Source organism: Homo sapiens, chromosome 3 (genome assembly GCF_000001405.40).
Source record: "Homo sapiens chromosome 3, GRCh38.p14 Primary Assembly".
In the NCBI taxonomy this organism is placed as follows: domain Eukaryota; kingdom Metazoa; phylum Chordata; class Mammalia; order Primates; family Hominidae; genus Homo; species Homo sapiens.
In genome coordinates this window covers 54,959,685-54,976,802 of record NC_000003.12, presented here as the reverse complement: position 1 = coordinate 54,976,802, position 17,118 = coordinate 54,959,685, and the positions used below count along the sequence as shown (strand labels likewise).

The window sequence follows — 17,118 nt, the reverse complement described above, 5'->3', positions numbered from 1 at the left end:
GTGGAAGGAACAGAGCTGAGAGCTCTGGAGCAGGGGCAAACACTGCTTTAACTCAGAACTTGGAAAACCAAGCTGCAAAAATAGGGGAGTGGCCTCCTTGGGAGAATACCAGATGAAAACTATCACACAAAGAAGTTTTTCATAAAACATGACTGTCACTAATAATAGTAACAATAAGAATGTAAGAAGAAGAATAAGGAGGATGGCAGCTACAGGAGGACATCGACTCATGAAAACCTCACTTTTCACAGCATCAAGCAGGGAATTTTTCTCTTGGAAAGAAGAGAAAACTGAGATGTTGTCTTTTTTTAATTATTATTATTATACTTTAAGTTTTAGGGTACATGTGCACAATGTGCAGGTTAGTTACATATGTATACATGTGACATGCTGGTGCACTGCAACCCACTAACTCGTCATCTAGCATTAGGTATATCTCCCAATGCTATCTCTCCCCCCTCCCCCCACCCCACAACAGGAAGGGGAACATCACACTCTGGGGACTGTTGTGAGATGTTGTCTTCTCCAAGGTCACACACACACAAGTGAGACTTGAGTCCATTGCTATGGGACTCCAAAGCCCACACTCTTTCTACTGGCTGACCCCCACCCTTACTTTCTAAAAGACAGCAGGACACAGTAGGGTCTAGGGATTTTGCCTGCTCATGGAAGGCTTTGCTTGTTTGAAAAAAGCAATCCCTTTATATAATGTGTGTGTGTGTGTGTGTGTGTGTGTGTGTGTGTGTATCTATATCTATACCTATATTTATATCTAATCTCTATGGATACCTAAGACAGATCTTGTCTGACACCTGCTACCAAAGGAAACCACAACAAATGGCAGAAAAATCAATGTACCAAGTGTCTGGGGTGTTATTATTGTGGCTGAAAGCAAGTAAAAACAATAAAAGTGACTGACGTCTGGGTCAGTTTGGTCAAGTGGTATCAACCCCAATTATAGGTTCCTAGACTCCCTGGGCATAGCAATTCTTGAGCTAATATCTGAACCAAGACATAGTTTAGGGGGATTTTTTCTATCCATCTCCACAACTTGCTACAGAATAATCTATGGAAGAAAAAAATATGTCCATTATAGGCTAGAGTCTAAAAATATACTTAATGAACCACTCATTTTGGTAAGATTGCTCTACATCCTAGCAAACAATGATGGGAAGAGAACAAGGCGGAGAACTGGCCAGGGATCCTGAAGGACAACATGCCTAAGCTTCCATTTCCACCAAAGGGGGCCACGTTGTTTTTTTTTTTTTTTTTTTTTTTTTTGGAGACCAAGTCTCACTCTGTTGCCCAGGCTGGAGTGCAGTGGCATGAGATGTTAGCTCACTGCAACCTCTGCCTCCCAGGTTCAGGTGATTCTCCTGCTTCAGCCTCCTGAGTAGCTGAGACTACAGGTGCACACCCCAATGCCTAGCTAATTTTTGTATTTTTAGTAAAGACGGGATTTCACCATGTTGGCCAGGCTGCTCTCAAACTCCTGACCTCAAGTGATCTGCCTGCCTTGGCCTCCCAAAGTGCTGGGATTACAGGTGTGAGCCATCGTGCCCAGCCACATTTTCTTTATAGACACTGCTGTTACTTTGTCTAACTGTAAACATTAAAAGGCAAATTGAGTGACAAGATGACTTTCTAAACAGACCTCCCTGTCAATGACCACTTGGATTAAATTATTATTGAGAAGTAGAGTGCAGTGGAGTGAGCCCACTGGAGTTAGGGGGTCAGAGTGCTGGGTTTATGGATAAATTAGGACAGAATTAGCTAGAGTCCAGTCTGATCAACTGTTTTTTCCATATCACTTTACAATAAATAATATTCAATTCCCTTCTCCATATGGCCTGTCCAATAAAAGGAAATGGGAACTATTTTCTCAGCTTTCCCTCGCTTGTGCTACCCTTTCCTCCCAAATTAAGCCCAACATCTTAGAAGATGTCTATCTGTCACCCTGCCCCAAGGGTGCACTAACAAGTTGAAGAGCTTGAAGAAATTAGGAGTTCAAACAGACACTTGTAAGCACCTACTCCACAACTACCTTTGGCAAAACATCTGGGGATGAGGTTGTTTTTAAAAAGGCAGCAATAAAGGGCAGGGTGGAGAGCACAGAGGGAAGTTGATGTTTTAAAAAAGGCATCTTCCTGCAACTATTCGGATGGCTCCGTATTACTCAGAGAAGTCTGATTCTTAGTCACAGAGGTGGATCAGGTAGATACCTGAAGTTAAAGCCCAAACCCAGGCCATGGGAATTGGGCAGTCACAGATTGGAAGGGCAGGGTGCCTGGGAGTGACAAATGGCAGTACTAACCTTGTGTACACTGGAAGGGGTACTAGCCCAAAGGCTAAGACACCAGTTTGAGAATCACAGACTATGACATCTGCTGTCGGTGTGACCTCAAACAAAGTCTTTCTAACACTCCGAGTCTGTTTTCTGATCTGAAAGATGGAGATAGCACCAACTATTTCATAATGTTGCTGAGATTAAATGGGAGGGTGCATGTAAAGTACTGAGCATAGTACCTAGTGCATAGTAAGTCCTCCAAGAACACAGGCTTCCATCTGCTCAGCAAATGTTTATTGGTCACCTATGATGTGTGATTTTTACAAGTATCCTAATGCTACAATTGTACAGTTTTTCAGAAACGGAAGTTGTTACATAGTTCATAGCAGGAGGTCCCGGCTGACTGGCTGAGCTTTGCTGCTTTTTGCCTTTTGTTTGGAAGGATGCCTTTTGTTTGATTGGAGAAACAACTCACTTAGAAACCCGGTATTGTACTGCCTGTTGTCTTCATTTGTGGGGAGAGAGGGAGAGAGAAACACACACACACACTAGGTTCTTGCATCTGAGGGTGGGGCCTGAATCTCTGTACATCAGGCACAGGAAGGTGCCACTCCTTGCTACTTTTCTCCAGGTCTCATGATCCAATCCCTAATATTTCCATTGTGGAATACGCTTGACACTTACTTCACATCATTTGCTCTATCTTTGCATTAACTAATGATCATATCAAAACACTGTCTTTTGAAAAAATTTATTGCAGAGGGGTCACCTAGGAAAGATGCACTTGGTAGGGGTCACCTGTGCCCCCTTGTCCTCCTTTGCTATTCAAATCGTCCTCAAACCTACCCTCTGGCTGAGGTGGGCAGTCCAACATGCAGGCAGGCGCCTGGCTGCCTGGAGGCAGCCCTTCTCGTTGCCCTGTCATAATTCAAGCAGGTCTTTCTGATGCCAGAGGAAATGCCTACAAGCCTTAGAAAAGTCTTAGAGATTTTTAATAAGGGTTATTAGCCTCTATTCCTTTGGAACAAGAAAGGGTAGAGCTGACTTTGATCATGAAGTTTTCGATTCTCTCGCTGCCGTCACACCTCTTCCAATGCCTCAGTAGGAGACACCTTCTCACCTTCCACCGTCTTTGCTAACTCCTGGTACTCTCATCAGGAGATGAGAAGTGTTGCACAGGTGAGTGGAAAAGGAGAAAGAGACTGAAAGCAGTGAGGAAACACTAGCACCTGCAGGTCAGACTGAGATCAGAGGTGAACGTGGCCCTCCTTCCTCCCTTCTGTCCTGAATGCTAACTGTGTTTTCCTTGACCACAATGACCCTTTGCCACTTTGGTGCCTCTACAGTGGTGTTCTCTGCTTGCAAAGCTCTTCTCAGGCTTCAGGAATTGTCTTCAATATCATCTCCTTCTTTGGCTGACTTAAATGTTACCCCCTCAGAGAAGCCTTCGCTGACTACCGCATGTCAGTTTACTCTGCAGGACTTACCACAATTGATGATCATATAAGTTTATCTCTCCTGCTAACCGGTAAGCTTCAGGAGAGCAGGGCCTTTTCTGACTGCTTCCCATTGACTGCCCCGTGCTCAGCCAGGCACCAGGTGCCTAAGAAGGGCTCGGTAAAGATGTCTTGAAGGAAGAAATGAGTGTGTGAACTGTTGCCTCAATGGCTTGGAAGTTAACATTCACCCTGGGTGAAATGGAGCTCCTTAAAAGTCAGCCCCATGGCCAGGCCCTCAAGTCACATGGCTCAGGTTCTGACTGGGCCAACCAAAGATGCACCTCTACAAGATGGCAGAGCATCTGGCACACTGGCTCCACCTACCAGCCACAGCACTCCTGCCAAGGCCCAGAGAGTGCATTGACTGGGGAGACAAAGGGGCTGGAGTGGATCTAAGGCTAAGTGTGTCTGATAAGCCCGAGGGAGTTGGGCCAGGTCATAAGTGCAATGGAGAAGTCAGACCACTGAACTTAATGAGCCCCCACAGCTGTTTTTAATGGAGACCTGATCATTCGAGGGCAGTTGGGGGAGAGGAACATGGTCTCATATGCCTAATTAAAAGTTACAAAAAAGAGAATGACACATGGCAAGAGTCTGCTGAAACAATGGAAAGGGGCCTTGGTGAGAAGGCAGGACTGACTTTTCTATTTAAAACAGTGTCAATTGGTTGCCTGGAACCAAAATTTAAGAGTCAAAGAGGACAACGGATGACAGCTTCAAAGTACAAACTCAGGATATTTGAGCATCAGATCAAGTTCAGAAATCAGGGCAACTTCAAGGCTTAATTTTCAAAGCATGTGGACCTTTAAATGACATTTGAATAGGGGTTTATCCCAATGGTTGCTAAAAGAACATTGTTAGCAGTGAGCAAGAGGTCGTAGCCTGTGCTTACTATGCCCAGGGGAAACTGTCACTTGCCCAAAGTGTATATACCATTGCTGTCTGAGGTTTCAAATCCAGCAACCTGAAACCACAGCATGGAAGAAAACATCTTCAGAGTTTGTTTTTTTTTAAATTTATAAACAACATTTATTGAATGCTTATCATTTCCAGGAGCCATACCATGCATTGTTCATGTCTTATCTATTCATTCTTCACCATTACTCTGTGAGGTGGATATTTCTATCCCCATTGTATAGTTGAGAAAACTGAGGCATGGAAAGATTTGGAAACTTGCCCAAGGTCACACATTTTATTACTGTCAGAGTCACGACTTGAAGCTAGTCAGTGTAAATAGTTTTGCCTTTAACCACCATGTTAGACTGCCTGTGAAAGCAGTCATTGAAGAATGAACATGTATTGGATGTTTCCAACTCTAAGTGGAAATCCATTTCCACTTGTTTTTATATAAGGATGCACTGAGGCAGTGTGGGTTCTGGGAAGATTACTGTCTCTGGCTTTAGTTATAAAATTGTTTAACCAACTATCCAACCATCTATCCAATCAATCGACCAACTACGTAACCAACCAACCAATGAGCCAACCAACTATTCAAGCTACTGCCCTAGCTGTGAGCCACCCGTCCAACCATCTGTACAATCAGCCAACTAACCAACTAACCATCCTCACTCCTCTTACTGTAAAACTGGGATTCATAATTATACCCACTGTGCAAGTGAAGAGCTTAACACAGGGCCTCGAGACACTGATTAATCACTACTACTATTGAGTTGTGTTGTTCTTGAGCTGAGCACTCCAATAAGACAATAAATGTCTCAAAGACATGGGAGAGGCTTGAGGCCCACTTGACTATCCTACAAAAATTATCCCTGAACTTGCTGAAAAGGGTGTGGACCATACAACTTCACAGGGTATTCTTTCCTAAGGGGAAATTAGTTTTGATCTGATGATCACAGAAACTTGGGCTTCTGCAGAAAACTTTGCTGACTGGCTTTTTTTTTTTTGATACTGTGACTCATACAATGATTATGATTTTCTAACCAGCAGCCAGATCCTCTGGGACCGAGCATTTTGTTTTAACTTCATCCTGGACTTCCTTTTATATTTCCTTACTTGTTTTTCCTTTGTCCACCTTTTTGAAATCTACTTCCTAATCTATGTTTTCTGGGTTGAAATTGTTTGGTTAGGATTTCTTAAGTCCTCATGATAAGCAGAAGGAATATAAATATGTGACTATTTATAAGGTCTAGTTTACATATTGACTGCTGTTTCACTGATGCAGAGAGAGAAAGGCTACCTCAGGAGAAGTGAAAAGGCCACCATGCTTCTGCCTGCTCCAAAACGTGGGGCAGAGGGTATGGGATGGCAAGGTATAAAAACATAAGGCAGATGGAAACACTTTGGGTAGTGGCATAGTTTCTTCTTCCATTGCGCATGTGTAGGATTAAAATCCCTCCTCCCAAAAGGCAGAGAGAGAGAAAAAGAGGAGAGGAGAGGAGAGCAGAGGAGAGGGGAGGGGAGAGGAGAGGAGGGGAGGGGAAGGGAGGAGAGGGGTGAGGAACGGAGGGGAGGAGAGGAGAAGAAAGGATAGGAGAGGAGGGGAGGGGAGAGGAGGGGAGGGGAGGGGAAGGGAGGAGAGGGGTGAGGAACGGAGGGGAGGAGAGGAGGGGAGGGGAGGGGAGGAGAGGAGGGAGACGGAGAGAGAGAGAGAGAACAGAAGAGGAGAAAGAAAAGAAAAAAGAAAAGATTTGTAGGAGAGAAGCAGTATGCTACAAAGAAACATTTTGAGTTTCAAAGTTTTTAACTCCTAGGTTTTTTGTTTGCTTATTACATGAAATTAGCTGAATCACTTAATTTCTCTGATGCTCAGTTTTTCTTATCTGCAAGATGGGTCAACAAGTCCTACCTATTTCACCGGTTGTTGCAAGGATGGAAAGAGATTAAGGCATGTAGAAAAAGGTTTGAGAATTGTAATGTGAGCTTCAAACAGTAGGAGTTAGGAGTTTGTATTATTTCCTACAAAATGTCAAAATTCCAATAGTGCTATCCATGAGACATTTAAAGCACATTTCCAGCTGTCATAAACTGATGGGAGGTGGGGAACAAAAAAAAAGAAACAAAGCAAATAAAGCAAATGATTTTTTTTTTTTTAGATTGGCCCAGTACAATGCGTCAACCTGGCCTTGTTTATAAGGGCATTCCCTCGGTCATAAAGCACCATCTGTCACCTTCTATCCACAGGGGTAGAAACAGGACCAGGAGGCCGTCTTACCTCATCATCACAGCTGATGGAGCATTTGCCATCCAGGGAAGCACACTGTGAAGGCAAAAAGTGGAGGGAAATGTGTTACTATGTTACTTGGGCATCCCAGTGCCTGCTGTGGCTGCCACTGAGCTACTTAAGGACAAGCTATCCAAGTCATGGGCTAGAATTCAAATACCCAATTTCATTGAAAAGGAATGCTCCATGATGTGTCTTGTCTACTATCTCTGGAATCAGTATCAATTCCAAGTAGTAATGTAAAATAAAAGATCTATGAAACAACTGAGCGGGGTGGGGCAGGCACAGTGGCTCACACCTGTAATCCCTGCACTTTGGGAGGCCAAGGAGGGCAGATCACTTGAGGTCAGGAGTTCGAGACCAGCCTGGCCACATGGCGAAATCCCATCTCTACTAAAACATACAAAAATTACCCTAGTGTGGTGGCAGGCACCTGTAATCCCAGCTACTCAGGAGGCTGAGGCAGGAGAATCACTTGAACCAGGGAGGTGGAGGGTGCAGTGAGTCGAGATCGCACCACTGCACTCCAGCCTGGGAGACAGAGCAAGACTATCTCAAAAAAAAAAAAAAAAAGTCTACTTTATGTTGTCATTAAACAGTAATGATATCTTTTTAAGATCTCAAATCTTTTGGTAACTAAAAATACAATTATGTAATTAATTTAAAATTCATTAATTCTCAGTGACTTTAAAAAACCCCTGTCCATCTCCTTAGTTTATAGCTTCCTAAAGTATCTTAATTTAAAGGATGATAAGCCATTCTAACATTTATTCTTGGTCAGATGGAAGCAACTTATCAGTGGCCCTTTCTACCAAATTACTCAACAAATACCACTGAGATGACTTAGTACAGAGAGCATAGCGAAAAGAAAACAATGTTCCCAGATTCTCCAAGGTAGACCCTGTGAACAAAGAAGTCAGATACATGTTTTGGAGAAACTAGTTACGTAAAGGGTTTCTAGATTTTGATAATGAGATTCACAAGTAAGTAACCAGGCACGACCACAGGATTAGGAGAAAGTCAGAATGAAAATCTCACAAAAGGCCCCAATACTTAAAAGAAAAACTCCTTTGGAAGGTCACTATCTTGATCCCACAATTAAAACTGTTCCTAGGAGCAAATTCCCTGCTTTGCTCAGCATGTGGTGTCTAACATGCTGACAGCCCTTTATTTTGCAGTGAAATGAAAGGTAATCTGAGCAGCCGGCAGTTGATTTTACAAACATTCATCGGAAATCTGGCACTTTCAGGCTCCAGGTACCCAAATGGGAACACCTGTATAATAACAGTGTCGCTAATGCTTCAAGATGCTGATTATAACTTACCTGTCTGCTGGCAGTCCAGAACTTCCTTTGGAAAAATTCAAGTTTCATCTGAATGCCTACAGCTGGGACAAATTATAAATAAAACAAGGCATTAGTGATCCCTTTACACAATTATTTAAGATTATCGTTGAAAATTATCCGTCATGGCAAGAAGCTGATATAAGCATATAAAATAAAATGTACAGTGAAGCATACAACTAAAACATTTTATCTTTCAGGTAAAGAATTCTCAAGTTTACCTGCACTCACAGAACTCTCGATACAAAACAAACAGCACAGTGCAGATCGCTCTTTGGAGACATGTTACTTCGGCATTTCTAAAATTCATATGCTTGCACCACTGCCCCTACCCCCACCCCAACACAAGCTGAGAAGAGGAAAGAAAAAAAAAAATTCAAAAGATCACTATTGCTTCAGTTCCTGTCAGCTATTACTGTTTGAACTTGCATGTCTAAAATGTGTACTCTGCATGTGTTTTTGAGACGTAACATTTGAAAAGCACTTGTCATGAGGCTAGAATTCAGAAGTGAGTCACTTTACTATAATGTGTCTTAGTTTAACTGGCCTCCTAGAGTCCACATCTCAAGGTTCTTCTCTCCCATGGAACTCTGGTAAAATTATGTAATTTTTTCTTTGTCTGTGAAAAGCTTCCTAAAGCAACTGTGAATGCTAGTTCTAGTGACAGAAACAGCCAAAAAGAGAAGAGGTTAAGAATGTGACTTGAAACTTTGGGAAGTGAAATTTAGTGGAACCTCAAAACTATAACATGAGGAAGTTCACCTTATTTTTCTCCATGAAGCCCAAACCACTTGAAAGACCTGAAACCATCTCAGGAAGTAAAATGGTAAGGGCAAAATGCTCCTCAGATGGTGGGAAAACTTGAGAGGCGTTCAGAAGAATGAGACTACAGGGAATACTGAATTCCCTGGAGCACGTCATTTACCCCAGTGCAGTTTTGCAAACTGTAGTCTGTTGCACACAACCTCCCCATTTTTACCATATTTGCATACCACCAATACTCTTATTGTCCTTCCACATTTCTTTCTTTTGCTTAAAGACCTACAGTAATTCAACCTAAATAAAACTGGAACACCCATCAAAAGAAATACACAATTGTAAGAAAAAAAATCACTTAAATACTCTAAAAATTTTGCGTGCCACTATACTGGACCTCCCATTTGGGTAATCATTGTTGTGCTGGCTTCAGGAACTTGGAGATTCATAAAGGTCTTGGGCTGTTGTTACCCTGATAACTATCAAGGGCATTTCTACTTCCTAAAGAAATTGTTGAAGCCAGCCCTGAGAGTAAAGGTTAACTGGGTGTGTACATTGGGAGAGATTTGCCATCTGTGTTTGCACTTAGAATTTCCGACTCTAGGATAAAGACTAGAGCAGTGCACGGCTGCAACATGCAGAACGTGAAAAGCCTCTGAAATGCACCATGTCGGTGCCCAGGCTCATTCTGCTCTGCCTTAAGTGTCCTTCGTTCTCTGGACCACAGCCTTCCCAAGAATGAGGACCTGTTCTTGCTCCCTGCTGGACCCCTGCCTCCAGCAAGATGCTGAGTACACAGACGACCCATAGGTAAATGCTTGCTTTTTAAAAAAAACTTTCAAGTGATATTATAGTCAGCAGTTAGAGAGAAATATAGAAGAGTAACACCTATGCGAATCGTTTGTTTGTTTGTTTGTTTGAGACAGAATCTCACTCTGCTGTCCAGGCTGGAGTGCAGTGGTGTGATCTCAGCTCACTGCAACCTCTGCTTCCCGGGTTCAAGTGATTCTCATGCCTCAGCCTCCCGAGTAGCTGGGATTACAGGTGTGCACCACCACACCTGGCTAATTTTTGTATTTTCTGTAGAGGTGAAGTTTCACCATGTTAGCCAGGCTGATCTCTAACTCGTGGGCTCAAGTGACCTGCCTGCCTCAACCTCCCAAAGTGCTGGGATTACAGATGTGAGCCATGTGGCTGGCTTGGGTATGTTTTAAAAGTGTCCCAGATGATTCTCACGCACAGCCAAGGTGGGGGATGGCTTTAGTAAATCAGCTGTTGGGGACCTACTGTGATGTGGGCCACGTGGCCAGACTACACAACACAAAAGCTGTTCTTCCCAGCATTGGAGAACATTTCAGAGAATGCCTGAAAGAAGCTGATTTTGAGTCTGATGGTAGTTGACTGCATTTCAAATAAATCTCATCTTCCAAATGCCTGACAGGCCAGGGTGCAGGGTGCAAAACAGGGTCTGACTCCCTGAAAGAGTCACTCCAGGGTAGCCTTTCCATGGTGCTTCTCCCTCCAACAGCCCAGAGCTGTCCTGGGCCCACCTGTCATCTCTTGAGCTTCCATGAGTCTCCTGATGCCCTTTCTGAGACCCCCACCCCCGTTCTCTGATGGAGCCCTCATCTTCACCTCCCTGATGAAGCCAGCTGCTCCCCGCTGGGTGTTTATCCATCTCACATACTTGCAGTCTGTTCTCATCTGCCCCTGTCGGTCCTCTACCCCAGCTCCTTGGGGCGCTTTCATCTTTCCTCATGAGTCAGTCCCTCCATCCCATTAATCATGCAGGCTGCTTCTCTCTGATCTCCCTCCAGCAGGCTGCATCCTCGTCCTGGTCCTGATGCCCTGAACTAGAACTGCTTCCCTCTCTCCTCACTCACACCCCTGCCTGCACCATGAGGTTGTTGCCCAAAGGCTCCTGGATAGTCCTGGCTGCAATTGTTCTGCTAGTTTTGACCTAGCTGTGTTCCGGCTAGCTGACCTCATCCCCTTTCCAGTAACACTGGCCCCTGGCTTCCTGTGGCATATCTGGGGTTTGCAGTGTTTTCTTTTACCCATAAGTTAATATACTCTCCTATGATTAAGGGACTCACAATTTCATTGATGGATCAACTTCACGACCATTTGTTCAGTGAGTACTAAGCTCTACACTGGGTACTAAGCTCCCTCCACGTCCAGTTGAGGAGTAGATCCATTGTAAAAGCTACACTAGAGGCATAAAGAACTGGAGCGTGCAGAGAATGGGGCTGACTTGGCCTGGTGAGAGCTTTGTGTAAGGTGAGGCATGGAGAGCCCACTCACAGAACAGTAAGAAGCCAGGGAAGATGGCAATCCAAATGGAGGAAACAGTAAGGGAGGGGAAGGGAGAGAACCTTTTTAAAGACCATCATTTGTTTGGAGGCTTGAGAAGAATGGGAACGGGGACCCAGTTGTTCAGGCTGAGGTCAAATGGCAAAAGGTCTTGAATGTCAGGCCAAAGCTTCAAGAGTACGTAGGCCAGAGATTGGTCCAATGGTGAAATCCAGCCTCTTTTTGTAAATAAAGTTTTCTTGCAGCACAGCCACACTAATTGGTTTGCACACTGTCTATGACTCCAATAGCAGAGCTGAGTAGTTTTAACTGAGATTGCATGGCCCACAAAACCTCAGTTATTTACTATTGGTCCTTTACAGAAAAAGTATTCTGACATCTGCCGTTGGTGCCATTGAAGGTCTTTAGTATCGAAGTGGCAGGATCAGGTTTATATTTTTAGAAAGCCCACTCTGAAAGCTCGCAGAGGAAGTGCTAGGGAAAGGGCCTATAAAATGGGAAATGGGAGAATGAGAGTAAGGGATCGAGAGTAACGGGATTGAGCTCATTATTTCTTGAGCGTGAAAATGATTTAAAGTGCAAAAAACAAGGCAACAAAAAAAAAAATAAGAATAACCCTCTCCCCCAACAAACAAGCAAATAAACAAAAATGCTTAAGGGAATCCTATGGCCAACTCTATTCAGAAAAACAAATATCACCTGCCACAAGCCACAAACAGAAGTGTAGCTTCCTTTCACTATTTTCCTTAGTTTTGGTCCACATTTTTCTTTTCTTGACCTTTATCAGAGAAAACACGACTACTTCAGTGAGTCCCACTCTCTCCCTTCAGCCCCCACATAACCTAAATGGAACCTGAGACATTTGTCAAGCCCGTCTATTTTGTTCTTTCAGCAACATTTCAAGCAGTAACAGTATATTGATTTAAGTCAGTCTTGCTAATTTAATAAGGAAAACAAAGACAGCAAATGCTTTTGTGAAACTCAAGTCCCAAGGAGAGTTACAGAAAAAAAAAAATCACCATTCCTGGGGTTTGTAATGTTTTAGACAGTCCAGAAAATCATCAACATATTTCCCCGGAGGTCACAGTGCTCCTTACTTCAATTTGATTACAGATGTCCCAGGGCTCCCTCCCTGCTGGGAATCTTCATCACATGGATAGAGACAAAGTCCCTTTACACAACTGCATCTGGTGATATCTTACTCACCACCCAGGAACACAACCGATCCAGAAAATATTATCCCATAGGATCCTTCCCCATGTGCCAATATGGGGTGAGCCTCCTAGGACAGCGACCCCAAGATACTGGGATGGTCTTTGGAAACCAAGACAGCAAAATTATTGTTATAAGAATTGCCATCTCAAAGAGCCCAGAATCCTTTCATGTGAAATATTCAGGAATCTGAAGCACTGACCTCTCTTTTGAACTATCTGTGTGACTGTTCTCACAACTCCTCTCAATACTCTAAGAGGGCTTAACTACAGATATCGAAACTTCAACAAAGTATCTTCCTTCCAGACTTCCTCTTTTCCCAACTGTCTAACTTCCTTCTTATCTACTTTTACCCTCCCTTCCTCCATTCCTTTCTCCCATGTTTATCAGAAACCCAGTATGTGCTGGGTGATAGGTGTATTGAGAAAAAGATGTGAGAGACACAACCGCCAGGGGTACAGGCCTGGGGAGGGCAGTCAAATCACCGAAGAGAGATTCACACTTCAGCATCCCCAGAGCTGACAGAAACGAATGCAGGGCATCATCCAAAACACATAGACCATTTGCTTTGCAGAATACCAATGATCGGCATGCTTGAATCTAGGGACAGGCAGCTGACCTTGAATGCTCTGATCCTGTGCTGTCCAAATTAGTGGCCATTAGTTACATGTGGCTATTTAAATAAAAATTAACTAAAATTAAATAATATTCACAATTTAGTTCCTTAGTTGCACTAGTTAGATGTCAAGTGCTCCGTAGCCACAGGGTGCTAGAGGCTACGGTACTGGACCATGCAGATCTAGAATATTTCCATCATTGCAGAGACTTCTACTGGACGATGACCAGTGATCCCAGAAGGAACCATAGAAAAGAAATGGACCCTAGCACTCCTTAAGGATGGAAGGTACAATTCTCCACAAACCCGTCCATACTACCACTCCCCAGAGGTAGAAGAAATGAGATGACTTAGGTATAGGGGGTTTAGATCAGACAGGACTGCCAGCGTGAGACAACCTGGACTTGCAAGGGGAAGTTGGAAATGAGTTTGAATGAACCCTAAAGAAATCAATGCAACAACCACCCTCCAGATTTATTTATTTTGCTTTATAAAACTTGAGACTACAAATTACATTTGCAGTGCTATTATGTTTAAATGCATTCAAGATGAAATCATGCATGCATCTCATATCATGTTAATAGACATGCATTCAAGTGTAATCTGAAACTCACAAAATATAAAATTAGAAATAAAACATATAAAATTAGAAATAAAACAACTTTTCTCATATCGTATTCATTTAGAAATAATTTCCTGTGGGGTTGGCCTCAACTTGCAACATACTAGAGGGGCACAGATCTGGTTTGTAAAATAGTGCTCACTATGCCTGGCACACAAGCTCACCCAAACACCCCTACTTCCATTTGCCCAGCCCTCCAGTCATACAATATATTCACATACACATAGAGAGCTCATCCAAAAGGCAGAAAAACAATCCTGCCACCATCAGTGAATTCCAATCAGGAGTTGTTTTGCTGCGAGAACTGATTGCAAACCCGTTTTAAGACCACTGCTGTGTACCCTTGGGTATGTCACTTTACCTCTCTGTCTCCACCAATAGAGTTGCACCGGCTCTGGCTTCTGAACAGAATTTTTGTGGGACAAAAATCAGTGAGAGTAAATAAAATCACGGGTATTAAAATACTCTAACTAGTTGATAGTGTTGTCATCATTCATGTTATGACTTGCTCCTAGAGCTTTTATTCTTTATTCTTATGTTTCATGGCTAATATGCCTTTCATGCCAATTATGTTGAGAGTGAGCAGAAAATTCATCTATGACCAATGCAAACTGTCCACTCCTAGGAATGTTCCTTAGAGTGTTATATCAGTGAGCAAATGCATTACAAAATCATGCTATCAGCCAAGCAGGCTCTTAGAGAATTAATCTTTTTCCTTCAGGATTAAGGAAAGGTGTGCTCCACCATTCAAAACCTGTGCTATGGTTTGAATGTTGGTCCTCTCTGAAACTCATGTTAAAATTTGATCTCTAATGCAGCAGTATTAAGAGGTGGCACTTTTAAGAGGTGATTGGGTCCCGAGGACTCTGTCCTCATGAATGGATTAATCTATTAATAGATTAATGGGTTAATGGATTAATGAGTTATCATGAGAGTGGGACTGGTGGATTTACAGGAAGAGGGAGAGAGACCTGAGTGAGCACGCTCAGTCCCCTCACGATGCCATGCCCTGTGCCTCCCTGGGACTCTGCAGAGCCCCCACCAGCAAGTCCCTCACCACATGGGGCCCCTTGAACTTGGACTTCTCAGCCTCTGAGAAGAGGCTTTAAGAAGTGAATTCCTTTTCTTTACAAATTACCCGGCTTCTACCACTCTGTTAAAAGCAAAAGAAAACAGAAGATGTCCTGTCACCCACCCCTTCTGGAATTGTGATCATTCATGCATACTCAGGACAAGGTTAGACAGGTCAGGGTACAGAACCCAAGAAGACTGCTGTCCATGATACTGGTGCCATCAGCTTCCTGTGCACATCAATCAGGCCACCTGCCCACAAAACTTCTCAATGACCTGGCTACTGCTGGACAATTGCAAATGTGGACAATTACCATTTCATTGTGGTGTCCAGGCAGAGAAACAGATCCAAGAGCTGACTTGCACTGGCTTGTTCTACAAACAGAAGATTTTCTCCTAATAGATTCCAATCCATAGGTAGGAATATAGTAGAAAATTGTAGTTTTATTAGAGGGAATACAACTACAATAAGTTAATAATAAATAAATTACCTGCTAAGGATTTCCCATATATTTCATCTCTTAGGAGTAGAGTGACTTTTCCCAAAACCCAAATTGTACAGATAAATGCTCATCCAGATCATCAGCTTCCTTGCTGGTCATATTTCTTAATCAGGGCACTGGGTATTTTTACATGGCTTGGTTAATATCTCTTATCCAGTCTCACCTCCACTTTGACAGTCTCTGAATTTTTATTTCTTTGTGCACCATGGCAAAGATTGCTAGCAGTGATAGTAACAAGGCCTGGCATGTTTGGATTCCAACTTGCCTTAGTTAACGGTCAACTGTAATAGCCATTACCCAAGCCACGTTTGTTTAAATGTTTTCTTCTGTTTGTTTTCAAAACAGTTAACTGCAAGTAGAACTAACAACGAATCTGAATGTCATTTTTTGGGAATATTTCATGATTAACCCAGGGTTTGGAAAAAGGGCACTGTTCTGGAGCATCAAGGAAAATAACTCCAACCTTCTTTACATCAAATGTGAGCCCATTCCGGAGGTCTGTTGGTGTCCAAGATAAATGACTTACCACATGAATAACAATTTAAAACTGCAATGTGAATTAGGACATAACTCATCTGTTAAATATTTCATGTGAAGATGTTAATGAATTGCATGATGGAATGTTGGACAAAAAAGACAACTGAAATCCTGGGACTAATTTGGGCAAAACTGAGAACAGAGTATCCTCGGGAAGATGAGGGGGAAGGAAGGGAAGGCAGCTGCACTCTTGTCCCCCTGGGTATCAGGCTGGCAAATTCAAAAGCTTTCTTAGAAGATTATAGGCAAGGGAGAATGATCAGCAACAACCTTTGGAGAAATATTTAGATCAAAGCAATATGCATTTGTTATAATCTTGGTAAAGCCTGAACATTAATCTCCAAGCTATGGTATTATTTCAGAAATTAGAAAAAAAAATTCTCACAGCAGCAGAAACACCTCATATTTTAGCCTAGTGCAAGTGAAGAAATATAATGATAAAAGGGGAGGAGGTATTTTAAATGTAACCCCTAAATGATTGCATATTTCACTTCTGAAGTATTCCCTGTGGTATGGGGGGTTGGTAATCTTTCTTATACATGCTTTTAAATAACAAAGCACTCCATGATATATGTCTGTGGTGAGAGAGAGGGAGGAGAAATAGCTCACATTATCACACCATTGACAAGGCCGCAGCAGAAGATTTTCTTTGCTGAGGAGGCCTATTTTAATCTGTAACCATCCCTACCTGCTGCCTGTGACTGGCTTCTGGGAACCAGTGTAGGAAGGCCTGATCCATTTGGCCACACATTTCTTTCATAATCACTTTGGTTTTTTTTTTTTTTTTGTCCTGTCAGAGCTTCTCGGAACTGTCACCTTTGGTAAAGTAGAGTAAATGACAATTATAAATGTTTCCTCCATTTGGGTTCTAATTACTTGACTGGATTGATGTTGAAAAGAATTAGCAGGGTTGTGGAATGGAATAATAATTTTCTTTTCACCCTTGAGGTAATCTGGAAGCATTTTTCCAGACTTCATCTGAAGAAACCTATATTCCCTCAGCTTTCCCAGGCTGCCGGAGCTAGCATCAAATTGTTTTTGTCAGATCATTTTATGCTCACAAAGTTCTTCAAATAATATTATTTCAATAAAGTTTTCAAGCCAATACATTTTTAGAGTCAATTCCCACCCTTTCAACCTTTCAGAAGAAAACATTTAAGCCTCGGGCTTCATTGTATT

At 42.7% G+C, this 17,118-nt stretch overlaps 2 protein-coding genes across 2 annotated transcripts in view; one reads left to right on the top strand and one right to left on the bottom strand.

Moving 5' to 3' along the window:
• Window positions 1-17,118, bottom strand: part of CACNA2D3 (calcium voltage-gated channel auxiliary subunit alpha2delta 3) — a 952,006-nt gene that overhangs the window by 97,755 nt on the left and 837,133 nt on the right. Inside the window, exons 28-29 of the mRNA NM_018398.3 lie at window positions 8,292-8,353; window positions 6,959-7,003 (exon numbers count right to left, since the gene is read on the bottom strand). Of these exons, the coding sequence (NP_060868.2) occupies window positions 6,959-7,003; window positions 8,292-8,353 (107 nt within the window). The remainder of the gene's footprint in view (window positions 1-6,958; window positions 7,004-8,291; window positions 8,354-17,118) is intronic.
• LRTM1 (leucine rich repeat transmembrane protein 1) overlaps window positions 9,701-17,118 on the top strand; it is a 48,872-nt gene continuing 41,454 nt past the window's right edge. Inside the window, exon 1 of the mRNA NM_001304389.2 lies at window positions 9,701-9,875. The gene's annotated coding sequence lies outside the window, so the exon portion shown is untranslated. The remainder of the gene's footprint in view (window positions 9,876-17,118) is intronic.